We start from the raw sequence: 21,400 nt of genomic DNA on the forward strand, positions 1-21,400 counted from the left end.
TGGAGAGGCCTGCTTTGGAGGTCACCTGGACCCAAAAGGCACGGCTTAGCTGGCACCGTCTGCATAAGCAGATGAAACCTCAGACGTCCCTCTGATCCAAACACAATATGACTATATGAGAGCAAAGAGATTGCTTTAATGTCCTCTAACAGGTTAAAGGCCAACACAGCTAAAGTAGGGGCCACAGGTGATGGATTCAGAAAGAAAAGCCACTTTCATGACCGAAATCGGCTAAGGCTGGGCCGGTAGCTTTTCATTTAGAAGTATATCCTGGCCTGGTCTGGTGGCTCACGCATATAATCCCCAACACTTTGAGGGCCTGAGGAGGGAGGACTGCTTGAGGACAGGAGTTCAAGACCTGTCTGGGCAACATTGCAAGGTGCTATCTCTACAAAAAATTAAAAAGTGAGCTGGGCATGGTGGTGCACGCCTGTGAGGCAGGAGGATCACCTGAGCCTGGGAGGCGGAGGCTGCAGTGAGCCGTGATCACACCACTGCACTCCAGCCTGGGTGATAGAGCGAGACCTTGTCTCTAAAAAAATAAATAGGCTGGGCACGGTGGTTCACACCTGTAATCCCTGCACTTTGGGAGGCCGAGGTGGGCAGATCACCTGAGGTCAGGAGTTCAAGACCAGCCTGGCCAACATGGTGAAACCCTGTCTCTACTAAGAAATAAAAAAAAAATTAGCTGGGTGTAGTGGCACATGCCTGTAATCCCAGCTATTCAGGAGGCTGAGGCGGGAGAATCATTTGAACCCAGGAGGCAGAGGTTGCAGTGAGTCAAGATCACACAATTGTACTCCAGCCTGGGCAACGAGAGCCGAAACTCCATCTCAAATAAATAAATAAATAAAATAAAATAAATAAAAAATAAAAACATCTCCAGAGACCAAAGCCCTCCTCTCTCCCTCTGCAGGGCAGTTCAACTGTTTCCTCGAATCCCCTCTAAACCACAAGTACTAGTGAAGGGCCCGTCCTGGTGGAGGGAGGACAGTGCTGGGGAGGAGCCAGCGTCCCAGGCTTTGAGAGGAAGCTGCGGATGTTTAACACCAGCTCAGAGTCCCCTTGAAGGAATTTTTCTGCCACTGTGTCATCTCCTCTTGAAACCCTGGCCTGGGCCAGGTGCAGTGGCTCACGCCTGTAATCCCCGCCCTTTGGGGGGCCGAGGTGGGCAGATCACCTGAGGTCAGGAGTTTGAGACCAGCCTGGCCAACATGGTGAAACCCCGTCTCTACTAAAAATACAAAAAAATTGCTGGGAGTGGTGGTGCATGCCTGTAATCCCAGTTACTCAGGAGGCTGAGGCAGGAGAATAGCTTGAACCCGGGAGGCAGAGGTTGCAGTGAGCTGAGATCATGCCACTGCTCTCCAGCCTGGGTGACAAGAGCAAGACTCTGTCTCAAAGAAAAACAATAACAACAAAAAAGAAATTCTGGCCTGGCCTGGAAGAAGCTGGTGGCTAAGAGGGGCTTCAGAGACTCCATCCAGATCTGCAGCTAATTCTGTCCAGGTTGGAGCCATGGCAGAGAGGAGAGTGGCTGTCTTGGGGATGGGGTCAAAAAGATGGATGTGGAAGTTTTGACCCTCAAAAATGACTGACAGGTCCGTGGCTACTGGAACAAGCTTTCACCGGCTGTGGGGGGTGGGGGGCAGGGTACCACCACCCTCGTGTCCCCAGGAGACAGGAGAAAACTGCAGCAGGTTGCTAGTTGCCCTATTGATGATGTGTTAGAATGCTGTCCCTCTGCTGATTCCCGTAGCATCCCTGGGTAAATGGCAGAGAGCCTTGCTGGCTCTTTGGGGCCACCAGCCAAAAGCCTTTTGCCTTTGCCATTTGCAGAGCGAGAGACTCATTCATCTCATACCTCTTAATATTTAAGACTCTGTTTTTCCCTTTTTCTGGTTCTTATGGATGGAACCTTAAGCAGCCAACTCTGGGAGGCAGCAGGTTCATTTAAAAAAAAAAAAAAAACAAGAAAAAAGGCTCAAACACCTAAAAACTAGCAGCCCAGCTGCTTACTGGGAAGAGGGGTCTCCCTGGGCAGTGAAAAGTGAAGAGTAGATGCTAGGATTGTCGGAAATTACCACTGCATTGAGAATCTCTTTTTTGTTTTGAGATGGAGTTTCACTCTTGTTGCCCAGGCTGGAGTGCAATGGCACGGTCTCGGCTCACTGCAACCTCTGCTTCCTGGATTCAAGCAATTCTCCTACGTCAGCCCCCCAAGTAGCTGGGATTACAGGCGGCTGCCACCACACTCGGCTAATTTTGTATTTTTAGTAGAGACGGGGTTTCACCCATGTTGGCCAGGCTGGTCTTGAACTCCTGACCTCAGGTGATCTGTCCACCTTGGCCTCCCAAAGTGCTGGGATTACAGGCATGAGCCACTGTGCCTGGTGAGAATTTCTTAAAAAAAAAAAAAAATATATATATATATACACACACACACACATACACACACACATATATATATACACACACACATATATATACACACACATATATATATATTTGAGGAGTAAGGGTTATTGTTTTACCCCAAATCAGTTTAAAATCTGAGTAAATTTAAATTTTTGGATGTAGCACATGCTGTTGGTTGCCTGTCCCAAATCCACGCCCCCTCTTCTCCCTGCTCATAGACCCTGATTTGGTCTGGGCAACCCACCCTCCTCCCCTGGCCACGTGCCTCATGAAGTCCTCGAGGTCATCCCTTCCTTTGCCACTGATTGGTTTGGGGCTGAGCACAAGACCCAATTCTGGCCAATGAGGTGTGTGAGAAAGTCAGCATGGGCTTTGGGAAAGGCTTCCTCACTCATGAGGAGACCCCGGGAGGAGCCCAATGGGAGAGGAACTGGCAGGCAATGAAGCCAGTGGGGTGAGGGCAGCAGAGCAGAGATACGGAGGGAACCAAAGTCCTTGACATTACTGAGCGCCTGGATGTCACCTGTCCTGAAGCTGCCCTACCTCTGGACTACTTGGTTTATTACTTTTTTTATTTTTGAGACAGTGCATTGCTCTTTTGCCTAGGTTGGAGTGCAGTGGCACAATCCCAGCTCACTGCAGCCTCCACCTCCTGGGGTCAAGCGATTCTCCCACCTCAGCCTCCTGAGTAGCTGGGACCACAGGTGCATGCCACCACACCTGGCTAGTTTTTTTGTTTTGGTTTGGTTTGGTTTGTTTGTAGAGATACCCCACATCTGCCTGTTTGCCCAGGCTGGTCTCGAACTCCTGGGCTCAAGGGATCCTCCTGCTTCAGCCTCCCAAAGTGTTAGGATTATGGGCGTGATCCACTGCACCTAGCCTTAAAAAATGTTTACTGTTCTGATTAAGTCATTTTAAGTAAGGTTTTCTCTTACTTGCAGCTGAAGGAATCCTAACTGGTATATTCCATAGTCTAAGCAACTGTGTCATCATCAATTACCTTGGAATTTTTTTTGTAAAAAAGCAAATCACTTAACAAACAGCATCTCTGTCACAAAGGGTTCGGTAACAGCAAAAACTGCTCCCCTGTCCTGTCCCTGCAAAGAATGCCATGCAACGGGGGTTTCAGACAAGCATTGTATCTGCTCTTACCCCTCCCCTTCCCAGTAAAATGTTTGGGTGATGTTCCATGGCAGGGAAACAGATAGAAGAAGGCACAGCCTGGTTCAAGGAAGAGGGCAAATGCGTTTTCAACGATGCCAAACTGGGCAAAACTAGTCCTAGTTTCAGGTGGGGTGTCCTGGGCTTGTTCTTCACTGAAACAGACCTGGGCTCCTTTTCTTCCTGTCCTCAGGCCAGAAATCCCCCATCAATTTGTCTAAGGGAACCATCACTGGCCAAGATACAGAGGGGGCAAGAACACAGGAGACCGAGTCTTCTTACCAGGAGAGGTGATTTCAAAACTCCAAACAATCTCCAAGTAAAATCCAGCCCCAGTAAGGGCCTGTAGCATAAATTTGAATTTTGGAGGGAGTCCAGCCCTCCACGTGTTTCTCTGATAGGAACTGGGAGAGCTTCCCCCATACAGCCAAGTCCTGTCGCGGAGCAGTCCCCCGACCACCCTGTCTCTGCCCCAACCCCTCCTTATGGAGGCAAACAGGCCACCAAACTACAGCCTCCCACGGTGTTCCATCAGCAGTCACAGGAAAACCCTCATGGCTTCTGGGCTTTGCCTCCCCAATATGCCACCCAGCACCCAGGCTCCATAAGAAATCTGCTTTCAGAATCAAAGACCTGAAAATTAGAAATGCTTTTCTAATGCCGAGGCCAAATTTCCTCCACACAAAACACCACAAATCCCTCTCCAAACAATTCGCGATTGCCCCCCAATCTCAATGGCCTTTTTCTCGGGTTGTAAATGTTCCCTAAAGTTGTCAGTGAATTAAACCAGAAAAAAAAAGAAAGAAAGAAAAAAAAAAAAGAAAGAAAAGGGTGGGTTACCTGCTCTGTGGGCCAAAGAAGGACCTTGGATTGATCGGATGTCAGCTCTGGTCCTGCAGCTTCCCCAGCCTGGCTCCACCTGTCTGACCTGTTGGGCTCGCTGCCGCCTCTGGGCCTGGCACAGCCGCAGGGAGCGGGGCTCGCTGCCAGCACCCAGGCCCCTCCATAGGTGTGCATTCACCTGCCAAGAGGTGCAGGCGCACAAGTGCCCTCCCCTCTCTGCTCCCACCATGTGACCTGCCCCCCAGCCGGACAGGCACTGGAGCATCTCCCTCGGTGTCACTGGAATTTCAAACCTGAAGCTGGCAGAGAGAAAGAAGAAAGGGAAGAAGAAGAGGGGAGGGGGACAGAGGAAAAATCCTGGCCCCCACAACTAACCAACAGTCCTTCCGTGATGTCGTGGAGGTCAGGCCAGGTGGGGCCAGCAGCCCCGTCACGGTGATCGTCAGGGTCAAATTCCAGGGCTGCTCTTTCCCCCTGGGTGGCTATTTTGGGAAAGCAGCTTTTCTCCAGCAGTGGACAGACTAGCTACTATGGACGCTGGAATCCAGAAGACTCAGAGCTCTGCCAGGGCCCAGCACAGGTAAAGGCACGGAGGACAGCCCTGGGAGCAAAGAGACAGTTTGCCCTCAGGTGCCCCTGAACTCCGCTCTGAGCACACACAATCCCACGGGTCCCTCCTGTCCCTACCCTTCAATAAGGATCACCCAGCACTTGGGGTCCTATCTGGCTTGGAAGAGGACGTGGGGCTTGAGGTATTACCCAAGGTGTTGAGGGGGTACAGCTGGAGGGGCAGGTGGCATCAGGTCTAGCGGCAAGGCCACTATTTTCCTGCCCTCCAGGACTGAGAGCCCTTAGCAGCCAGATTTGGCTTCTCTTCCCTTTCACTCCCTGGCCCCTGATGCCCGTCAAGCTCAAGTCGATACTGAACAACTGAGTACACAGCACAGCCTGGGTGTGAGGTCAGACTCTGTGCCTGGGATTGGGGCGGGTCAGGCATCTGACTCTGAGTTTCAACCACTGCTCAAGTTCAATCATGTGCTTCTAAGCTGCCAATCAAGCCAAACCTCTGGGAGTCACTGAAGAATAGAAACCGCAAGGCCAAGAGGAGGGTTGTGGTGCCCTGTGGTCTTGATAACTTGGGTTTTGAATGCAGGGTGGATGTTAAGATATAAAGCCCTTCCTAGGAAACCAGAAGACATCCTCCTAAGGAGGCAACAAAGCAGGGCAAGGCCCAGGAGAGGACCTGTGATGGAATTCAGACAGAGCCCAACCTCCCAGGGTACAGCCTTGTTCACGGGGCGCGGGAGGAGAAGGCTAACTGCTGCTGAGTGTGGCCAGGCAGGTCTTCAGCTACTGACATCAGGGCTGTGTCCACCCCTCAGAGCAGCACTGAGCTTGAAAGTGAAGCCCTGGCCGAGCGCGGTCGCTCACGCCTGTAATCCCAGCACTTTGGGAGGCCGAGGAGGGCAGATCACCTGAGGTGAGGAGTTCAAGACTGGCCTGACCAACATGGAGAAACCCCGTCTCTACTTAAAAAAAAAAAAAAAAAAAAAAACAAAAAAGTGAGGCTCTCTCTCAAAGCCAGCCCTTGCTCTGCTGCCCCAAGAGGGTCCTGCAAACACACGGGCCTTGTCCAAGGGGCCTGATGTGCAGGAGAGGGGCAGGGCCCAGGGCAGTGACCCCGAAGGGCTCCATCCTCGGACCTGACTCCTCCTTGCTCATAAACAACCAGGCCTTTGCCTTCCTCCCACACCAGTCCCCGGGTCAAAGGCCTTAAGAAAATCCCCGGTGCACTAGCCAACTCAGACCGCCCTGGCCCTTAGATCATCCGCTAGTCACTGGGCTGAGACCCAAAGGAGAGGGAAATATTTGGCGATTTCAGGGAACTGAACAGCAAAGGTGTTCACAATCAGACCACCAGCAGGAGTGCGGCACGCCCCTTAAACACTCTAAGGAAGTATTTACCAAGGCTGCTAAAAAAGAAGTTGAGGATTTCTGCCTCTGATTTAGTAGAAAATAATCTTTGAAATTTACATACAAAGTCCCATGATAAGTCATTTGGGATCCCCCAGAGGAGGAAGGCTGCTTGCGGTTAGACTGGGTGAGTCAACGAAACAAACAAATGGGCCCGATGAGGTCAGCTTTTTGGAAAAGGAACAAAGAAAACTGCACCCAAATGAGAGGCAGCTTACAATGGTGAAGCAGTGGTCACAGAAAATCCATTTCCAAAGCCTCTAATCCAGCAGTTTGGGGGATGATTTTGTCACCCAGGGGACATTTGGCAATATCTAAAGACATTTTTGGGGCCGGGTGTGGTGGCTCATGCCTGTAATCCCAGCACTTTGGGAGGCCGAGGCGGGCAGATCACTTGAGGTCAGGAGTTCGAGACCAGCCTGGCCAACATGACAAGACCCTATCTCCACTAAAAATGCAAAACTTAACTGGGCATGGTGGCACACACCTGTAATCCCAACTACTTGGGAGGCTGAAGCAGGAGAATCACTTGAGACTGGGAGGTGGAGGTTGCAGTGAGCCAAGATCGCATCACTGCACTCCAGCCTGGGTGACAGAGCAAGACTCTGTCTCAAAAAAAAAAAGAAGAAAAAAACCCAGACGTTTTTGATTATCACAATTGAAGGGTAGGGAGTGCTCCTGGCTTCTAGTGGGTAGAAGCCAGGAATGCCGCTAAACATCCTACAGTGCACAGGGCAGCCCCCACCACAAAAAATCATCTGGCCCCAAATGTCTGTAGCACTGCCACTGAAAAACTGTTCTCATCCACCGAGAACTCTCTCTCTCTTCCTTGCAAGTCCTGGGCAAAAGGTTGTTTTTAGTAGCCCAGAGGGCCATGGTGGTGACAGCTCCTCCCTGGGTGATGCCAGGCTTCAGGGGGTCAGCATCTTTGGAGGGTCCTCTAGGCATAGACCCCAGCTTGGGCAAGCCACTTGGCTGCCCCTGCATGGGTGACCCTGCCTGACTGCCCCTGGCTGCAACAGCCCCTTGCCGAGGCTTCTAGACCCTCAGAACCTCCCCCCTGCTGCTCTGGCTCTCAAGGTCCCACAGTAAAGCCACAGGAATGAGAAGGAGCGATGACAGTTCTCATCATCCCGTCATCGTCACAGCAGACTGGTAGGTGCTTTACAGGTGACAATGAGCTTTCACATTCGTTGTCTCACCTGAATACATAAAAGCCTCACCCACTGTTAAAACAATCTGAGTTCTTGACCTGCCAGACCAGTGGAACATGCAGAGGCCACCTGTCCCCGATGAGGGCCTGGGGGAGAGGGAGCCGTGCATTCATCTGGGGAGACCCCAGAGTCCAGAGCTGGGCAGAGGTGACAGCAGCCTGTCTAGGGGACCTGGGGGAAGCCAGGGTTCTGGCTGCTCCACGGCAGGCCCTGAGGTGGAGGGTCTAGACCCTGACCAGGCACCAGTCCTGCTGAAATGAGGCTCCGGAAATAGACGCACATCACACTCCCTGGAGTATTTTCTGGGCGGCCACAGAGTTCAGCAAATAGTCAACAGAAAGCATCTCCAAGAAGTGGGTGAACCGGAAGGACACATGCCCAAGGCTGATATGGGAGGTGTTTGGGGACTTAGGGAAGAAGCAGGACAGAAATAGGCCCAGCTCATTAACTGCATCTACATATGAATTGCTTGACTTTTTTTTTTTTTTTTTTTCAGAGACAGGGTCTGGCTTTGTCACCCGCTGAGCTGCAGCACAGTGGCATGATCATAGCTCACCAGAGCCTCAACCTCCCCGGCTCCAGCCATCCATCTTACCCCCTCAGCTCCTCTAGTAGCTGGGACCACAGGTGTGCACCACCATACCACGCCTAGCTAATCTTTTTTTTTTTTTTTTTTGAGACGGAGTCTCACCCTGTCCTTCAGGCTGGAGTGCCGTGGTGTGATCTCGGCTCACTGCAACCTCTGCCTCCCGGATTCAAGCAATTCTCCTGCCTCAGCCTCCCAAGTAGCTGGGATTACAGGTGTGCGCCACCACACCTGGCTAAATTTTTGTATTTTTAGTAGAGACGGGGTTTCACTATGTTGACCAGGCTAGTCTCGAACTCCTAACCTCAGGTGATCTGCCCATCTCGGCCTCCCAGAGTGCTGGGATTACAGACGTCAGCCACTGCACCTGGCAACCCGGCTAATGTTTAAAACAATTCTTTTAGAGACAGGGTCTTACTATGTTGCTCAAGCTGGTCTCAAACCTCTGGGCTCAAGTGTTTCTCCAGCCTCAGCCTCCCAAAGTGCTGGGATTACAAGCATGAGCCACCGCGTCTGGCCCGTTTGAGTTTTTATGAGTATTATTACTTATTTTATAAATCTAAAAGAACATTAGGAAAAAATAAGAATAAGGGCAGAATATCTCGTATCCACACCCCCTTTCACGGGATACAGAGCCTTGCCTGCTTGGGAAACTCCTGAACTGCAGTCTGGGTTGCAACTCCATGCGTCATTCATCCTGGTTACCAGACCCTGGAAAACCGACGCCAAGTGAGACTCTGAATAAGTCAAAGGACAGAGACCACAGGAGACAGCTCCCGGCGCTAAGCAAACGCCTGTCTCCAGCAAACCTCAGGAAATGAGAGAAACAAGTCCACGCTCCAGCTGGGAGCCCCCTGCAGCAGGGAGGCTGCCCATCTTACACCCCTAGACCTCCTGCCTGCACTCCCCCTGAGTAGGTGGCCCCTGCCACTGCCGTTCCCCTCAGACCACGGCCTTTCCTCGGGAGAGAGGGTGGATGTGGGGAAACACCAGCTCTTCAATGTACCCTGGGAAGGCGGATCCTGGAAGGCCCTTTTGAAGTTTGAGCAAAGAATGGGAGGATGCGACCCACCAGGCAGGCAGGAGCCGCTGACTCCAATGCGAAAATAGAAACTGCTTCCCTGTAGCTTGGATGCTATTGCAGCTGGCACACAGAGGCTGTTAGGATCAAGACGAGGTTCTGGATCCAGTGCCTGCCTCTGAGGCTGCTCACAAGGAGGAAAGTCACTGCAAAAATGCTTGGCCCAGGCCGGGCGTGGTGGCTCATGCCTGTCATCCCAGCACTTTGGGAGGCCGAGGCAGGCGGAATCACCTGAGGTCAGCAGTTCAAGATCAGCCTGGCCAACATGGTGAAACTGGTGTCTCCAAAAATACAAAAATTAGCCAGGCGTGGTGGCACACACCTGTAATCTCAGCTACTCGGTAGGCTGAGGCAGGAGAATCGCATGAACCCCAGAGGTGGAAGTTGCAGTGAGCCGAGATGGCACCACTGCACTCCAGCCTGGGTGACAGAGTGAGACTGTCTCAAAAAAAAAAAAAAAGAAAAAGAAAAAGAAAAAAGAAAGAAAGGCCAGGCGCAGTGGCTCACCCTGTAATCCCAGCACTTTGGGAGGACAAGGCAGGCAGATCACGAGGTTAGGAGTTCAAGACCAGCCTGACCAGCCTGACCAACATGGTGAAACCCCATCTCTACTAAAAATACAAAAATTAGCTGGGCGTGTGACGCACGCCTGTAATCCCAGCTATTCAGGAGGCTGAGGCAGGAGAATCACTTGAACCTGGGAGGCAGAAGTTGCAGTGAGCCAAGATCGCGCTACTGCACTCCAGCCTGGGTGACAGAAGGAGACTCTGTCTCAAAAAAAAAAAAAAAAAAAAAATGCTTGGCTCACCTGGCAGCTTTAAGCTTGGAGCCTCCTGGCCACCTGACCTGCTCTCAATGCACACAAGGCACAGCCTCCTGGAATGGTGCCTGCACGCCCACTTTATCACCCACTTTCCAACCTGCAGAACTGCCGTCTAATTTTCCATTTACAACTGTTCCTCCACCTCAGGCCTCAGCATTGTTTCTGCAGCTTCAACTCCTTACTCCTCTGTGCTGTGAGAGCTCTGTGCTCCCACCTCTGGCTCTGTCACCCACAGCCAGTGTGAATAACTCACAAGGTGTCACCAAGACCTTCCACCTCCCCAGGCTCTCTGTTGTGCAAAAGGGATTCACACACCTAGAGACAGGGCTGGAGCTGGGTGGCCATGGGACTGACCTAGAGGGACAGCTCATATGCTCCACCATTCTTGAGGGCATCTACTTCCCAGCTAACATGTAAAGCAAGAAATTCAGACCAGGCACGGTGGCTCACACCTGTAATCCTAATGCTTTGGGAAGCTGAGGTGGGAGGATCTCTTGAGCCCAGGAGTTTGAGACCAGCTTGGGCAACACAGGGAGAGGCCATCTCTAAAAAAATATTTTAAAATCATCCAGGTGTGCACCTGTAGTCCCAGTTACTCAAGAGGCTGAGGAGGGAGGATCGCTTGAACCCAGGATTTTGAGGCTGCAGTAGGCTATGATCACACCACTGTACTCCAGCCTGAGCAACAGAGCAAGACCCTGTCTCTAAAAATAAAATAAAATAAATGCAATGTGGGCATAACATCATATTTTGAGGACATACTATACATTGAAAAATGTCAAGGAAAATGGATAGGTTGATAATATTCAAAATAATCTAAAGTGTGTGTGTGTGTGTGTGCATGCGTGTGTGTATGTGTCTTTAGTTCAAGAATATATGGTGCAGGGCTGAGCACAGTGGCTCATACCTGTAATCCCAGAACTTTGGGAGGCCAAGGCCGGCAGATCACTTGAGCCCAGGAGTTCGAAACCAGCCGGGGCAACATGGTGAAACCCTGTCTCTAAAAAATAAAAAAAAATTAAAAAAAGAATATATGGTGCAAAGGCAAATAAAAGCAATGTTTCCAGTGGGCTAGATGGAGAAGTCCCTTTGCTGCCTCTCTGGGTCACATGGGAGAAGCACAGTTCCCTGTAGCCCCCATCCGGGGTCCTGGTACTCTGTAAAGGCTGCCAGACCTGGGGGTGAACCAGTGATCTGGGATGCAAGGGAGCAGGCAGTGGAAGAGACAGGAGCCAAGCAGATACAAGTTCACCACACTGGGCCATGCGTTCCTGGAGGAAACCTACTTCCTTCCATCCACAGGGAAGGGACTCAACACAGAGTGTTTTTATAAAGAGTGTCAGGACCCAATGTCTGAATGTGGGGGGATAGCCCACGGCTGGCCCAAGGAACATGTGTGGACCACCAAGCGCTGTCCTCTCTCTTCCTGTCCCCATATAGAGATGATTTGCTTTCCAATCACATCTACAAGTACTCGGTGTCTTTGGCCCTTGCCTGACCCCTGGTTCATGGCAAAACCTACCCTTGGGTAAATACCAGATGCCCTGATGTGGAATGGGTTGGTGCCGCAGGAGACTCATCTTCAGTGGATTCTGCATTTGAATATGGAATACATTTTCTTTTCTTTTCTTTTTTTGAGACAGAGGCTCGCTCTGTTGCCCAGGCTGGAGTGCAATGACATGCTCTTGGCTCACTGCAACCTCTGCCTCCCGGGTTCAAGTGATTCTCCTGCTTCAGCCTCCCAAGTAGCTGGGATTACAGGTGTGCACCACCACACCCGGCTAATTTTTGTATTTTTGCAGACACGGGGTTTCCCCATGTTGGCCAGGCTGGTCTTAAACTCCTGACCTCAGGTGATCCACCCGCCTCGGCCTCCCAAAGTGCTGGGATTATAGGCGTGAGCCATGGTGCCAGGACTGGAATACATTTTCTATCTGGCTTAAGCCAAAAGAATGAAGCTCTAATGGCTGAATTTCAGCCACAAACCAGCTCACTGAAGGAGATTGGGTGGAGGCAGGCAGCATAAGGGGAGGTGTCCCTGAGCTCACAGACCAGGGCCCTCCTCACTCAGATGCTGGCTCTATGCCCCCCAGGCCTTCTGGGGCCAGCCTCTCTGCCTTGAGGCCCCACCCTTCTAGCTTCACAAGTAACTCTTACTCATCCTTCAGGCCTCGGTTAAGCGCCCTACAACCCCCCTCACTCAGCTATGGGCTCCCAGTGCCCACCCCAAGCATCACACGTCTCCCTGCATCATGGTGGCCAACTCGCTTGTACCTCCCTCTCACCAGACTGAGTGTCAGCTTCCTGTTCCTACTCCCAGCACCTAGCCCAGCAGACAGGACATAGTGAGTGCCAGTAAAGGTCTGTTGAGAAAGCACAGGAGGAGGAGTGGGCAAAAAAAGACGGGCAGCGCTGCCAGCCAGCCTGCGCTGTCAGCGGACCGCACGTTCCAATCCTTCAAGAGCTTAATGATCAGGCTGAGCCTCAGGTGTTTAGTCTGTCGTCAGCCCAGAAAACACAGGTGAGGCAGCAGATGGGAAAGTGCTTTAAAAACTGTAACTGGGGCCGAGCGCTGTGGCTCATGACTGTAATCCCAGCACTTTGGGAGGCCGAGGCAGGTGGATCACAAGGTCAAGAGATCGAGACCATTCTGGCTAACATGGTGAAACCCCATCTCCACTAAAAATACAAAAAATTAGCCAGGTGTGGTGGCAGACACCTGCAGTCCCAGCTACTCAGGAGGTTGAGGCAGGAGAATCGCTTGAACCTGGGAAGTGGAGGTTGCAGTGAGCCGATATCATGCCATTGCACTCCAGCCCAGGTGACAGTGTGAGACTCTGTCTCAAAAAAATTATAAAAAAACAAAACTGTAACTGCAGGGAGTCACACTTCCATTTCAGACCATCTTTGAGTACACCTAATTTTTTTTTAAAACTGAGACTTGCTCTGTCACCCAGGCTGGAGTGCAGTAGCACGATCTCAGCTCACAGCAATCTCCACTCCTGGGTTCAAGTGATTCTCCTGCCTCAGCCTCCCGAGTAGCTGGGATTACAGGCACCCGCCACCACGCGTGGCTAATTTTTTGTATTTTTAGTAGAGACAGGATTTCACCATGTTGGTCAGGCTGGTCTCGAACTCCTGACCTCAGGTGATCCACCCACCTCGGCCTCCCAAAGTGCTGAGATTACAGGCGTGAGCTACCGTGCCCGGCCAAGTACACCTAATTCATAAGTTGACAATGATTTGGACTTTTCACAAGGTTATTTGGCAAGTTGGCTGCTTGCAACTAGGAATGCCACGCCCCAAAGTCACAATACCATAAGTGTGGCAGGTTTGTAGGCTCAGCCAGGACAGTCCATTGTACTGTGGGACCTCAGATATCCAGCAACATGGGGCATCATCCCCTCGTGGGTCAGGGTGCCTCACTTCACTTATTCCCCCTTGGCACCTAGCATGATGGGGAGCCAGGGCCAATACCTGGATAACCAGTGAATGAATGAAAGGATGAGAAGTAATCCAAAAACAGCAGCAATAGCAATATCAACAGCGGCCCCACTACGCGTCAGGCACTGTTCTTCATTCTTTTACTGCGTCACTCATTGCAGTGGACTGAAAAACACCCTGGAGAGATAGCCACATCAAATCCCTGCAACCAGAGCATGTGGGTCTTTGCGGAGCTGATTAAGATTATGAGATGAGACCATCTTGGATGATCTGGGTGAGCCCGAAGACAGGTGTCCTTAGAAACAGAGGCAGAAGGAAATTTAAGACAGTCAGAAGAGGAGAAGACACAGACACACAGAGAAGGCCACTGAAAGAGGCAGAGACTGGAGTGATGCAGCCACCAGCCCAGGAATGCTGGGACAGTCACCAAAGCTAAAGAGAGACAAGGGAGGCTTCTTCCCTAGAGCCTCCAGTGGGAGTATGGCCCTGCTGGATTTCAGATTTCTGGCCTCCAGAACTGTGAGAGAATAATTTAAGCCATCCAGCAGCCACAGGAAATTATTATACTCCTGGAGTCACGAATAAGCTCATTCACAACTGCAATGGGGTTGTTACAGAGAGACAGGGTAGGAAAGCAGCCTCTGGGCTGGGCACGGTGGCTTATGCCTGTAATCACAGCACTTTGGTGGCTCATGCCTGTAATCACAGCACGTTGAGAGGCTGAGGTGAGTGGATCGCTTGAGCCCAGGAGTTCAAGACCAGCCTGGGCAACATGGCGAAACCCATCTCTACAAAAAAAAAAAAAAATTAGCCAGGCATGGTGGCACATGCCTATAGTCCCAGCTACTTGGGAGGCTAAAGTGGGAGGACGGCTTGAGTCTGGGAAGTCAAGGCTACAGTAAGCCATGATCACCCCACTGCACTCCAGCCTGAGCAACAAAGCAAGACACTGTCTTAAAAAAAAGAAAGTCTCTGAGCAGCTCAAACTCCTGCGCTCAAGTTCCTGTCCCTCCTCAGAACATACTGTTACCCTCAACATGGTGTTTTGTTAATATCTCATATTCTGTTAATCAATACTCTCCTTGGATAAACACTCACTCCACTCCCAACTTCACAGCTGAAATTCAATATCAAGTAAATAGCACAACTAAAGCTAAGCTAAAGGAAAGTGATGAATCAAAGCAATGCTTTGTTTCCAAATGACCTCTGGCCCCTCATTCTGACATTGGGGTGAGGCCCAGCTTGCCCTTGAACTCCACTGTATGAACTCATTTTTTATTTTTTTTTCACAGAGTCTCACTCTGTCGCCCAGGCTGGAGTGCAGTGGCATGATCTTGGCTCACTGCAATCTCCGCCTCCCAGGTTCAAGCAATTCTGCCCCAGCCTTCCGAGTAGCTGGGATTACAGGTGCACGCCACCACGCCTGGCTAATTTTTGTATTTTTAGTAGAGATGGGGTTTCACCATGTTGGCCAGGCTGGTCTCGAACTCGTGACCTCAGATGATCCACCTGCCTCAGCCTCCCAAAAGTGCTGGGATTACAGGCACGACCCACCATATCCAGCCTGAAGAAGCCTCCCTTGTCTCTTTTTACCTTTGGTGGCTGTCCCAGCATTCCTGGGCTGGCTGCATCACTCCAGTCTCTGCCTCTGTCTTTCAGTGGCCTTCTCTGTGTGTCTGTGTTTTCTCCTCTTCTGACTGTCTTAAATTTCCTTCTGCCTCTGTTTCTAAGGACACCTGTCTTAGGGCTCACCCAGATCATCCAAGATGGTCTTATTTCAAAATCTTAACCTAAATAGGAATGAGGGTTCCTGACCCCACAGTAATTTAGAAGCAGCAACTTGGAAGGGAGGGAAAGGTTTGCTGAAATCAGATTCACCGGCAAGAACAAGGAAAGACAAGTGAGAGAAAGAGAACAAGAGAAGAAATGGAAATTCTATAAACCACATTCGTGACACTTAAAAAAGCCCTGCCACCTGAGGCCAGGTAAAATTGTGTTTATTCTGTTTTAAGAAGAGGGAAGCATGAATTATATTCTGGAAAGACTTCCAACCAAAAACGAAACAATTGAAAAGTGCCGGTACAGGGAGGAATTTTTTTTTTTTTTTTTTTTTTGAGGCAGGGTCCCGCTCTGTCACCCAGGAGGGAGTGCAGTGGCACAGTCATGGCTCACTGCAGCCTCAACCTCCAGGGCTCAAATAATCCTCCTGCTTCATCTTTTTTGATTTTTTTGTAGAGACAGTGTTTCGCCGTGTTGCCCAGGCTGGTCTCGAACTCCTGGGCTCAAGCAATCCTCCCTCCTCAGCCTCCCAAAGTGCTGGGATTACAGGCATGAGGCACCGCACCCAGCCAGGATGAATCTTTAGCTGTCTAAAACACTTGCTGGGTGCGGTGGCTCACGCCTGTAATCCCAACATTTTGGGAGACTAAGGCAGGTGGGTCACTTGAGGTCACGAGTTCAAGACCAGCCTGGCCAACATGGTCAAACCTCGTTTCTACTAAAAATACAAAAATTAGCCAGGCGTGGTGGCATGCACCTGTAATCCCAGCCACTTGCAAGGCTGAGGCAGGAGAATCGCTTGAACCTGGGAAGCGGAGGTTGCAGTGAGCTGAGATCATGCCATTGCACTCCAGCCTGGGAGTCGCAATGAGACTCTGTCTCAAAATAAAATAAAATAAAATAAAAATAAAACACTCAAGGTTTCCCAGGAACCTGTCTGCCTGGTGTTGAGGCTCCTGTTCAGAGGTATCTTGTGCCCCAAAGACAAACCACCTCAAGGGGTGACATCCCGCTCCCTCCCATTTTCCTAGTGAAGTGAGGAGGCAGGGTGCAGTGGCCACTGCTTCTGGCCCCCTACCTGCCCTGAGGCATGACTGAGCCCCATGGGGTTGCCCCACACCTGCCCTCAGAACCTCTGCACTCCTACCTGCTGTTCCCTTTGCCTGCTTGTGCCTGCAGTGGACTCCAGGATGGTCCCCACGCCCAAAGGGAATGAAGCCACCCACAGTGTCCCAGGCAGAGGTGTCCCACCTCTCCTATCTGTTAACTCTGCCCTGGACACGGTAGGGACACAGCCACGTTTGTGTCAACACCAGCACAGTACTGAACACACCATACAGAAGGAAGTCACTGGAACGTGCTGGATATATGAACACATGCACAGATGAACTGAGGAATCAATAAATAAGTGGATGAATTTTAAAGTTTTTACCAAATGCCTAAATTCAACACTGGGCTCTCTCTTCCCTTGTTGCTCTGTCTCAAGATCCCGTGGCTCAGTTCCTCTTCTGTAAACTCCTGGGGATGATTTAACCATAGAAGCAACCCTGACTGTATTAACTCCCCAGAGGGCAGGTCCATGGAATCCAGGAGGGAATAAAAAACATGTCAGACACGCTGCTGGCATCCTAAATGTTCTTGTAAGTTGTTGACACGACAAGAAACCATCAGGAACACTGTCACTCCCAATGTTTTTTCTATTTCTCCACTGACTTACATACAATTTCTAACAAAGTTCATTTGACACATATTTAAGGACAAGCACAAATGAAGGTAGAAATTGTGGGCGACAAATGATAAGGTGGCCCCTATGGCCACTGCCTCATGGTGTTCATGCCTTTGTGTGACCCCCTCCTTTAGTATGGGCAAGACCCGTAACTGGCTTCTAGCCAACAGAATATGGCATGGACGGCAGAGTGTCACTCAAGGATTGCGCTGCGTTATATAAGATTCCCTCTCCTGCTAGCAGGCTCGTGCTGAAGACACTCTCCCTCACTGGCTTTAAAGAAACAAGCTGCCATGCTGTGGGAGAGCCTAGGGAGGGGGCTACAAGGCAAAGGCCTGCGGGCGGACTCTAGGAGCTGAGAGCAGTGCCAATCAACAGCCAGCAAGAAGCCAAGGACTCCAGTCGTCCAACCGCAACGAGATAAATTCCACCAACAACCTGAGTGAGCTTGGAAGAGGATCTTTCCCCAGCTGAGTCACCAGATGAGACCCCAGCCCTGGCTTAGACCTTAATGGCAGCCTTACACAGGACCCAGCTAAACTGTGCCCAGACTCCTGACCCACAGAAACTGTGCGATAATAAATGTGTGTTTCCTAAGCTACTTTGTAGTCCTCTGTTACGCAGCAATAGAAAACTAATCTGATGATGATAATGAAGATGTGGCCATGACAACAGTCCCGGACAAGTGTGCGGTTTATGGTTCTCGTGCCTGTCACCCTGCACCTTGACAGAAGCACCATGATCATGTCCACAGACACTGGGTCATACTACACATGTTCAAGCCAGGCTCTACCATGATCACGCATGTGCCCATCAACATAACCCCTCTAAGCCTCAGTTTCCTATGTGTAAACATGGGAACAATAGCAGCCACCTCAGAGGACTAGTATAGGGATGAAATAAGGTAATATTTGTAAACTGCTTAGCACTTTACAGTAAGGGCTGAGCATACTGCGAGTATTCAGTCAATGTTGGCTATTTGTGCATTAGTTATTTACCTTCTGTTGTCCTGACCAGACTGTAAAGACCATCAGGGTGGCAATGAGCTGTCTAGCTATTGTACCTGGAGGACAGAGCTTTGAACATGAGGTGTATCAGGGAGGATTTGGGAATAAGGACCCATCTTGTGTGATCCTCCTAGAGACTCTGGGAGGTAGGCAGGACAGGAATGATTTATTTTAGGATAAGAAAACAGGTTGAGCTGAGGCGGGAGGACTGCTTGAGGCCAGGAATTTGAGACTAGCCTGGGTGACAGAGTGAGATACCACCTTTAAAATTTTTTTTTTTTTTTTTTGAGATGAAGTCTCACTCTTTCACCCAGGCTGGAGTGCAATGGTGTGGTCTCGGTTCACTGCAACCTCTGCCTCCTGGGTTCAAGTGATTCTCCTACCTCAGCCCACTGAGTAGCTGGGATCACAGATGCACACCACCGTGCCTGGCTAATTTTTATATTTTTAATAGAGACAGGGTTTCACCATGTTGCCCAGGCTGGTCTGGAATTCCTGACCTCAAGTGATCCACCCGCCTTGGCCTCCCAAAGTTCTGGGATTACAGATGTAAGCCACAGCGCCCGGCCTAAAATTATTATTTTTTTTCTTATTAAAAAACAAAAGAAAATGGATTGAGAGGTGTTATATTCTGGTCATGCACTACTGAGATAATGAAGGGGTAAAATGAAGACCAGCCTGGGCAACATAATGAGACACTGCCCCTACGAAAAATTTAAAAAATTAGTTGGGTGTGGTGCACATGTAAAGTCCCAGCTACTTGGAAGGCTGAGGTGGGAGGATCACTTGAGCCTGGGGAGGTCAAGGCTGCAGTGAGCCGAGATCGCACCACGGCACTCCAGCCTGGGCAACAGAGGGAGACCCTGTCTCAAAAAAAAAAAAAAAAAAAAAAAAAAAAACAAGTGCCAACTAACTCCCAGAAACTGTTCTTTATATTTCTCCACTGCCTTAAAAACAACCTCTAACAAAGTTAATTTGACACACATTTAAGGACAAGCACAAGTGTGAGCCTTTCGTATGGTAATTGGGCTTAACTGGAAATAATTCACTTAAATGAACATAATGTGTGCTGTGTGTGCCATCAAAGCGTGCGAATCTGGCAGCATTTGGAGAAGGTGTGATTCTTTATGAAGGGGAGAGAATGAGAGGCAGGGAAGTGTTTGCTGTTTTTTAAAAAATTCAGTGTGGAATGATGTGGCTTATAAGTGGGTCTAAGGGAACAGAAGTTTTGAAGTATTTTAGGGTTCAACAGCATTTGAAGGGATAGGACAGTCCTTGTTAGGTGTCAAAGTTGAGGCATTCTGGAGAGTTACCAGGCCCCACAGTGTAGGCTCAGAGCTGTGGGGCAGCGGGCAAAGTATTATGCCTGAGACCAAAAGGGAAGAGAACAAACGAGAATTATACCTGGTCTGAAATATAGTTGTCTCTCAATGTCCCGGGGGATTGGTCCCAGGATCCCTGTGAATACCAAAATCTGAGGATGCTCAAGCGCCTTTTATACAATTGTGTGGTATTTGTATATAACTACACACATCCTCCACATACATCTTACTCTGTCACTTCCAGTGGTGCAATCTCAGTTCACTGCAACCTCTACCTACGGGGTTCAAGCAATTCTCCTGCCTCAGCTTCCTGAGTAGCTGGGATTACAGGCACGCGCCACCATATTTATTTATTTTGAGATGGAGTTTTGCTCTTGTCGCCCAGGCTGGAGTGCAATGGCGCCATCTCAGCCACTGCAACCTCCGCCTCCCAGGTTCAAGCGATTCTACCGCCTCAGCCTCCCGATTATCTGGGATTACAGGCACCTGCCACCACACCTGGCTGATTTTTGCATTTTTAGTACAGACGGGGTTTCACCATGTTGGCCAGGCTGGTCTCGAACTCCTGACCTCAGGTGATCCACCCACCTTGGCCTCTCAAAGTTCTGGGATTACAGGCGTCAGCCACTGCTCCTGGCCTTTCCACACACTTTAAATCATTTCTAGATTACTTATAATATTTAATACCATGTAAATGCCATGTGAATAGTTGTTATACCGCATGGTTTTTTAATTTGTATTATTATTTTTTTATTAGACAGGGGTCTTGCTATGTTGCCCAGACTGGACTCCAACTCCTGAGCTCAAGCAATCCTCCAGTCTTGGCCTCCATAGGTGCTGGGATTACACGCATGATCCACCACAGCCGGCCCTTTTATATTATTTTTTATTGTTGTATTATTATTTATTTTTGCTTTTTCAAACATTTTGGACCCTAGGCTGGCTGAATCAGCTGATGTGGAACCCCCAGGTAAAGAGGCTCGACTGTATTACTTTGGGCCTGTCTCACCTTCTCCCTAAAAGACCATCGCAGCTGTCCTCCAATGCCAGCAGGGTCTCTCTACCTCCCACCCAGCACTATGAGGCTGGGTGTCCAGGGCAGGGGGTGGCTGGGTGGTGGCCAGGTTGTGATAAATTCAACAATGTTTTTTTTCTCAGCAAATTATCAAGAACTATTTTTCTGTCTTTCAGGCTGGAGGTGAGGGATTTCTTTTTGTGTTTTTCTTTGAGACACAGTCTCGCTCTGTCACTCAGGCTGGAGTGCAGCAGTGGCATGATCTCGGCTCACTGCAACCTCTGCCTTCCGGGTTCAAGCGATTCTTCTGCCTCAGCCTCCCAAGTAGCTGGGATTACAGGCGCGCACCATGACGCCCAGCTAATTTTTGCATTTTTAGTAGAGACAGGGGTTTCACCATGTTGTCCAGGCTGGTCTCGAACTCCTGGCCTCAAGTGATCCGCCCACCTCAGCACCCCAAAGTGCTGGGATTACAGGTGAGCCACCGCACCCAGCCCTGAAGGTGAGGGCTTTCTATTTGCTTTGGGGTTTGGGAAGCCAGTTCACCACCACTCTCCTTGTGGTGATCATGGACGAGGACTGATCAGTGGTCGACCATGTGGCCCAGGATTTTAAACTCGCTTCACCCCTCACTGGTGGTGGATTGCAGAGTAACAGGGGGTGACAGCGACAGCAGTCTTACCCACTTTCAATTCAAGTCCGTTTTAACTAATCTTGTTTGAGATGAGGTGACAGCCTCGCAGGATGTTTAATGCCAGGACTAGGAATCAATTTGGTTCAACAAGTCAACAGACACCCCCAACCCCCACCACTGTCAGGCCAGCTCTGTCTCCTCTGGCAGACCCTCCCTTGCTGCCCCCACTGTGCCATCTACTGAGTATGGAAACCATCTTCCTCATAAGGAGTTACTGATCTGGCAAGAGGAGTGTGAGCTCTCTGTCCAGAGGAGGCATGGGAATCGGGCAGGAGCTGCTGGGACCGTGTGGGGTGAGGTGGGATGGCTGAGG

At 50.2% G+C, this 21,400-nt stretch overlaps 1 long non-coding RNA gene across 1 annotated transcript in view, besides 6 other annotated features; it reads right to left on the reverse strand.

Annotated features, from left to right (window-relative positions):
* Nucleotides 1-21,400, reverse strand: part of MIR34AHG (MIR34A host gene) — a 34,328-nt gene that overhangs the window by 9,577 nt on the left and 3,351 nt on the right. The gene's annotated exons all lie outside the window — the stretch shown is intronic.
* Nucleotides 5,118-5,187: a silencer, noted in NCBI's record as "silent region_210". NCBI's record gives its function as "represses an Ori minimal core promoter by ATAC-STARR-seq in GM12878 lymphoblastoid cells {active_cell/tissue: GM12878}" and the evidence as "EXISTENCE:reporter gene assay evidence [ECO:0000049][PMID:35858748]".
* Nucleotides 5,338-5,407: a silencer, noted in NCBI's record as "silent region_211". NCBI's record gives its function as "represses an Ori minimal core promoter by ATAC-STARR-seq in GM12878 lymphoblastoid cells {active_cell/tissue: GM12878}" and the evidence as "EXISTENCE:reporter gene assay evidence [ECO:0000049][PMID:35858748]".
* Nucleotides 6,338-6,667: an enhancer, noted in NCBI's record as "active region_120". NCBI's record gives its function as "activates an Ori minimal core promoter by ATAC-STARR-seq in GM12878 lymphoblastoid cells {active_cell/tissue: GM12878}" and the evidence as "EXISTENCE:reporter gene assay evidence [ECO:0000049][PMID:35858748]".
* Nucleotides 7,178-7,227: a silencer, noted in NCBI's record as "silent region_212". NCBI's record gives its function as "represses an Ori minimal core promoter by ATAC-STARR-seq in GM12878 lymphoblastoid cells {active_cell/tissue: GM12878}" and the evidence as "EXISTENCE:reporter gene assay evidence [ECO:0000049][PMID:35858748]".
* Nucleotides 11,945-12,446: an enhancer, noted in NCBI's record as "H3K4me1 hESC enhancer chr1:9229591-9230092 (GRCh37/hg19 assembly coordinates)". NCBI's record gives its function as "activates a minimal SCP1, AML or CMV promoter by ChIP-STARR-seq in primed H9 embryonic stem cells {active_cell/tissue: H9 hESC(primed)}" and the evidence as "EXISTENCE:reporter gene assay evidence [ECO:0000049][PMID:30033119]".
* Nucleotides 12,447-12,946: an enhancer, noted in NCBI's record as "H3K4me1 hESC enhancer chr1:9230093-9230592 (GRCh37/hg19 assembly coordinates)". NCBI's record gives its function as "activates a minimal SCP1, AML or CMV promoter by ChIP-STARR-seq in naive and primed H9 embryonic stem cells {active_cell/tissue: H9 hESC(naive and primed)}" and the evidence as "EXISTENCE:reporter gene assay evidence [ECO:0000049][PMID:30033119]".

This window comes from Homo sapiens, chromosome 1 (genome assembly GCF_000001405.40).
Source record: "Homo sapiens chromosome 1, GRCh38.p14 Primary Assembly".
NCBI classification, from domain to species: domain Eukaryota; kingdom Metazoa; phylum Chordata; class Mammalia; order Primates; family Hominidae; genus Homo; species Homo sapiens.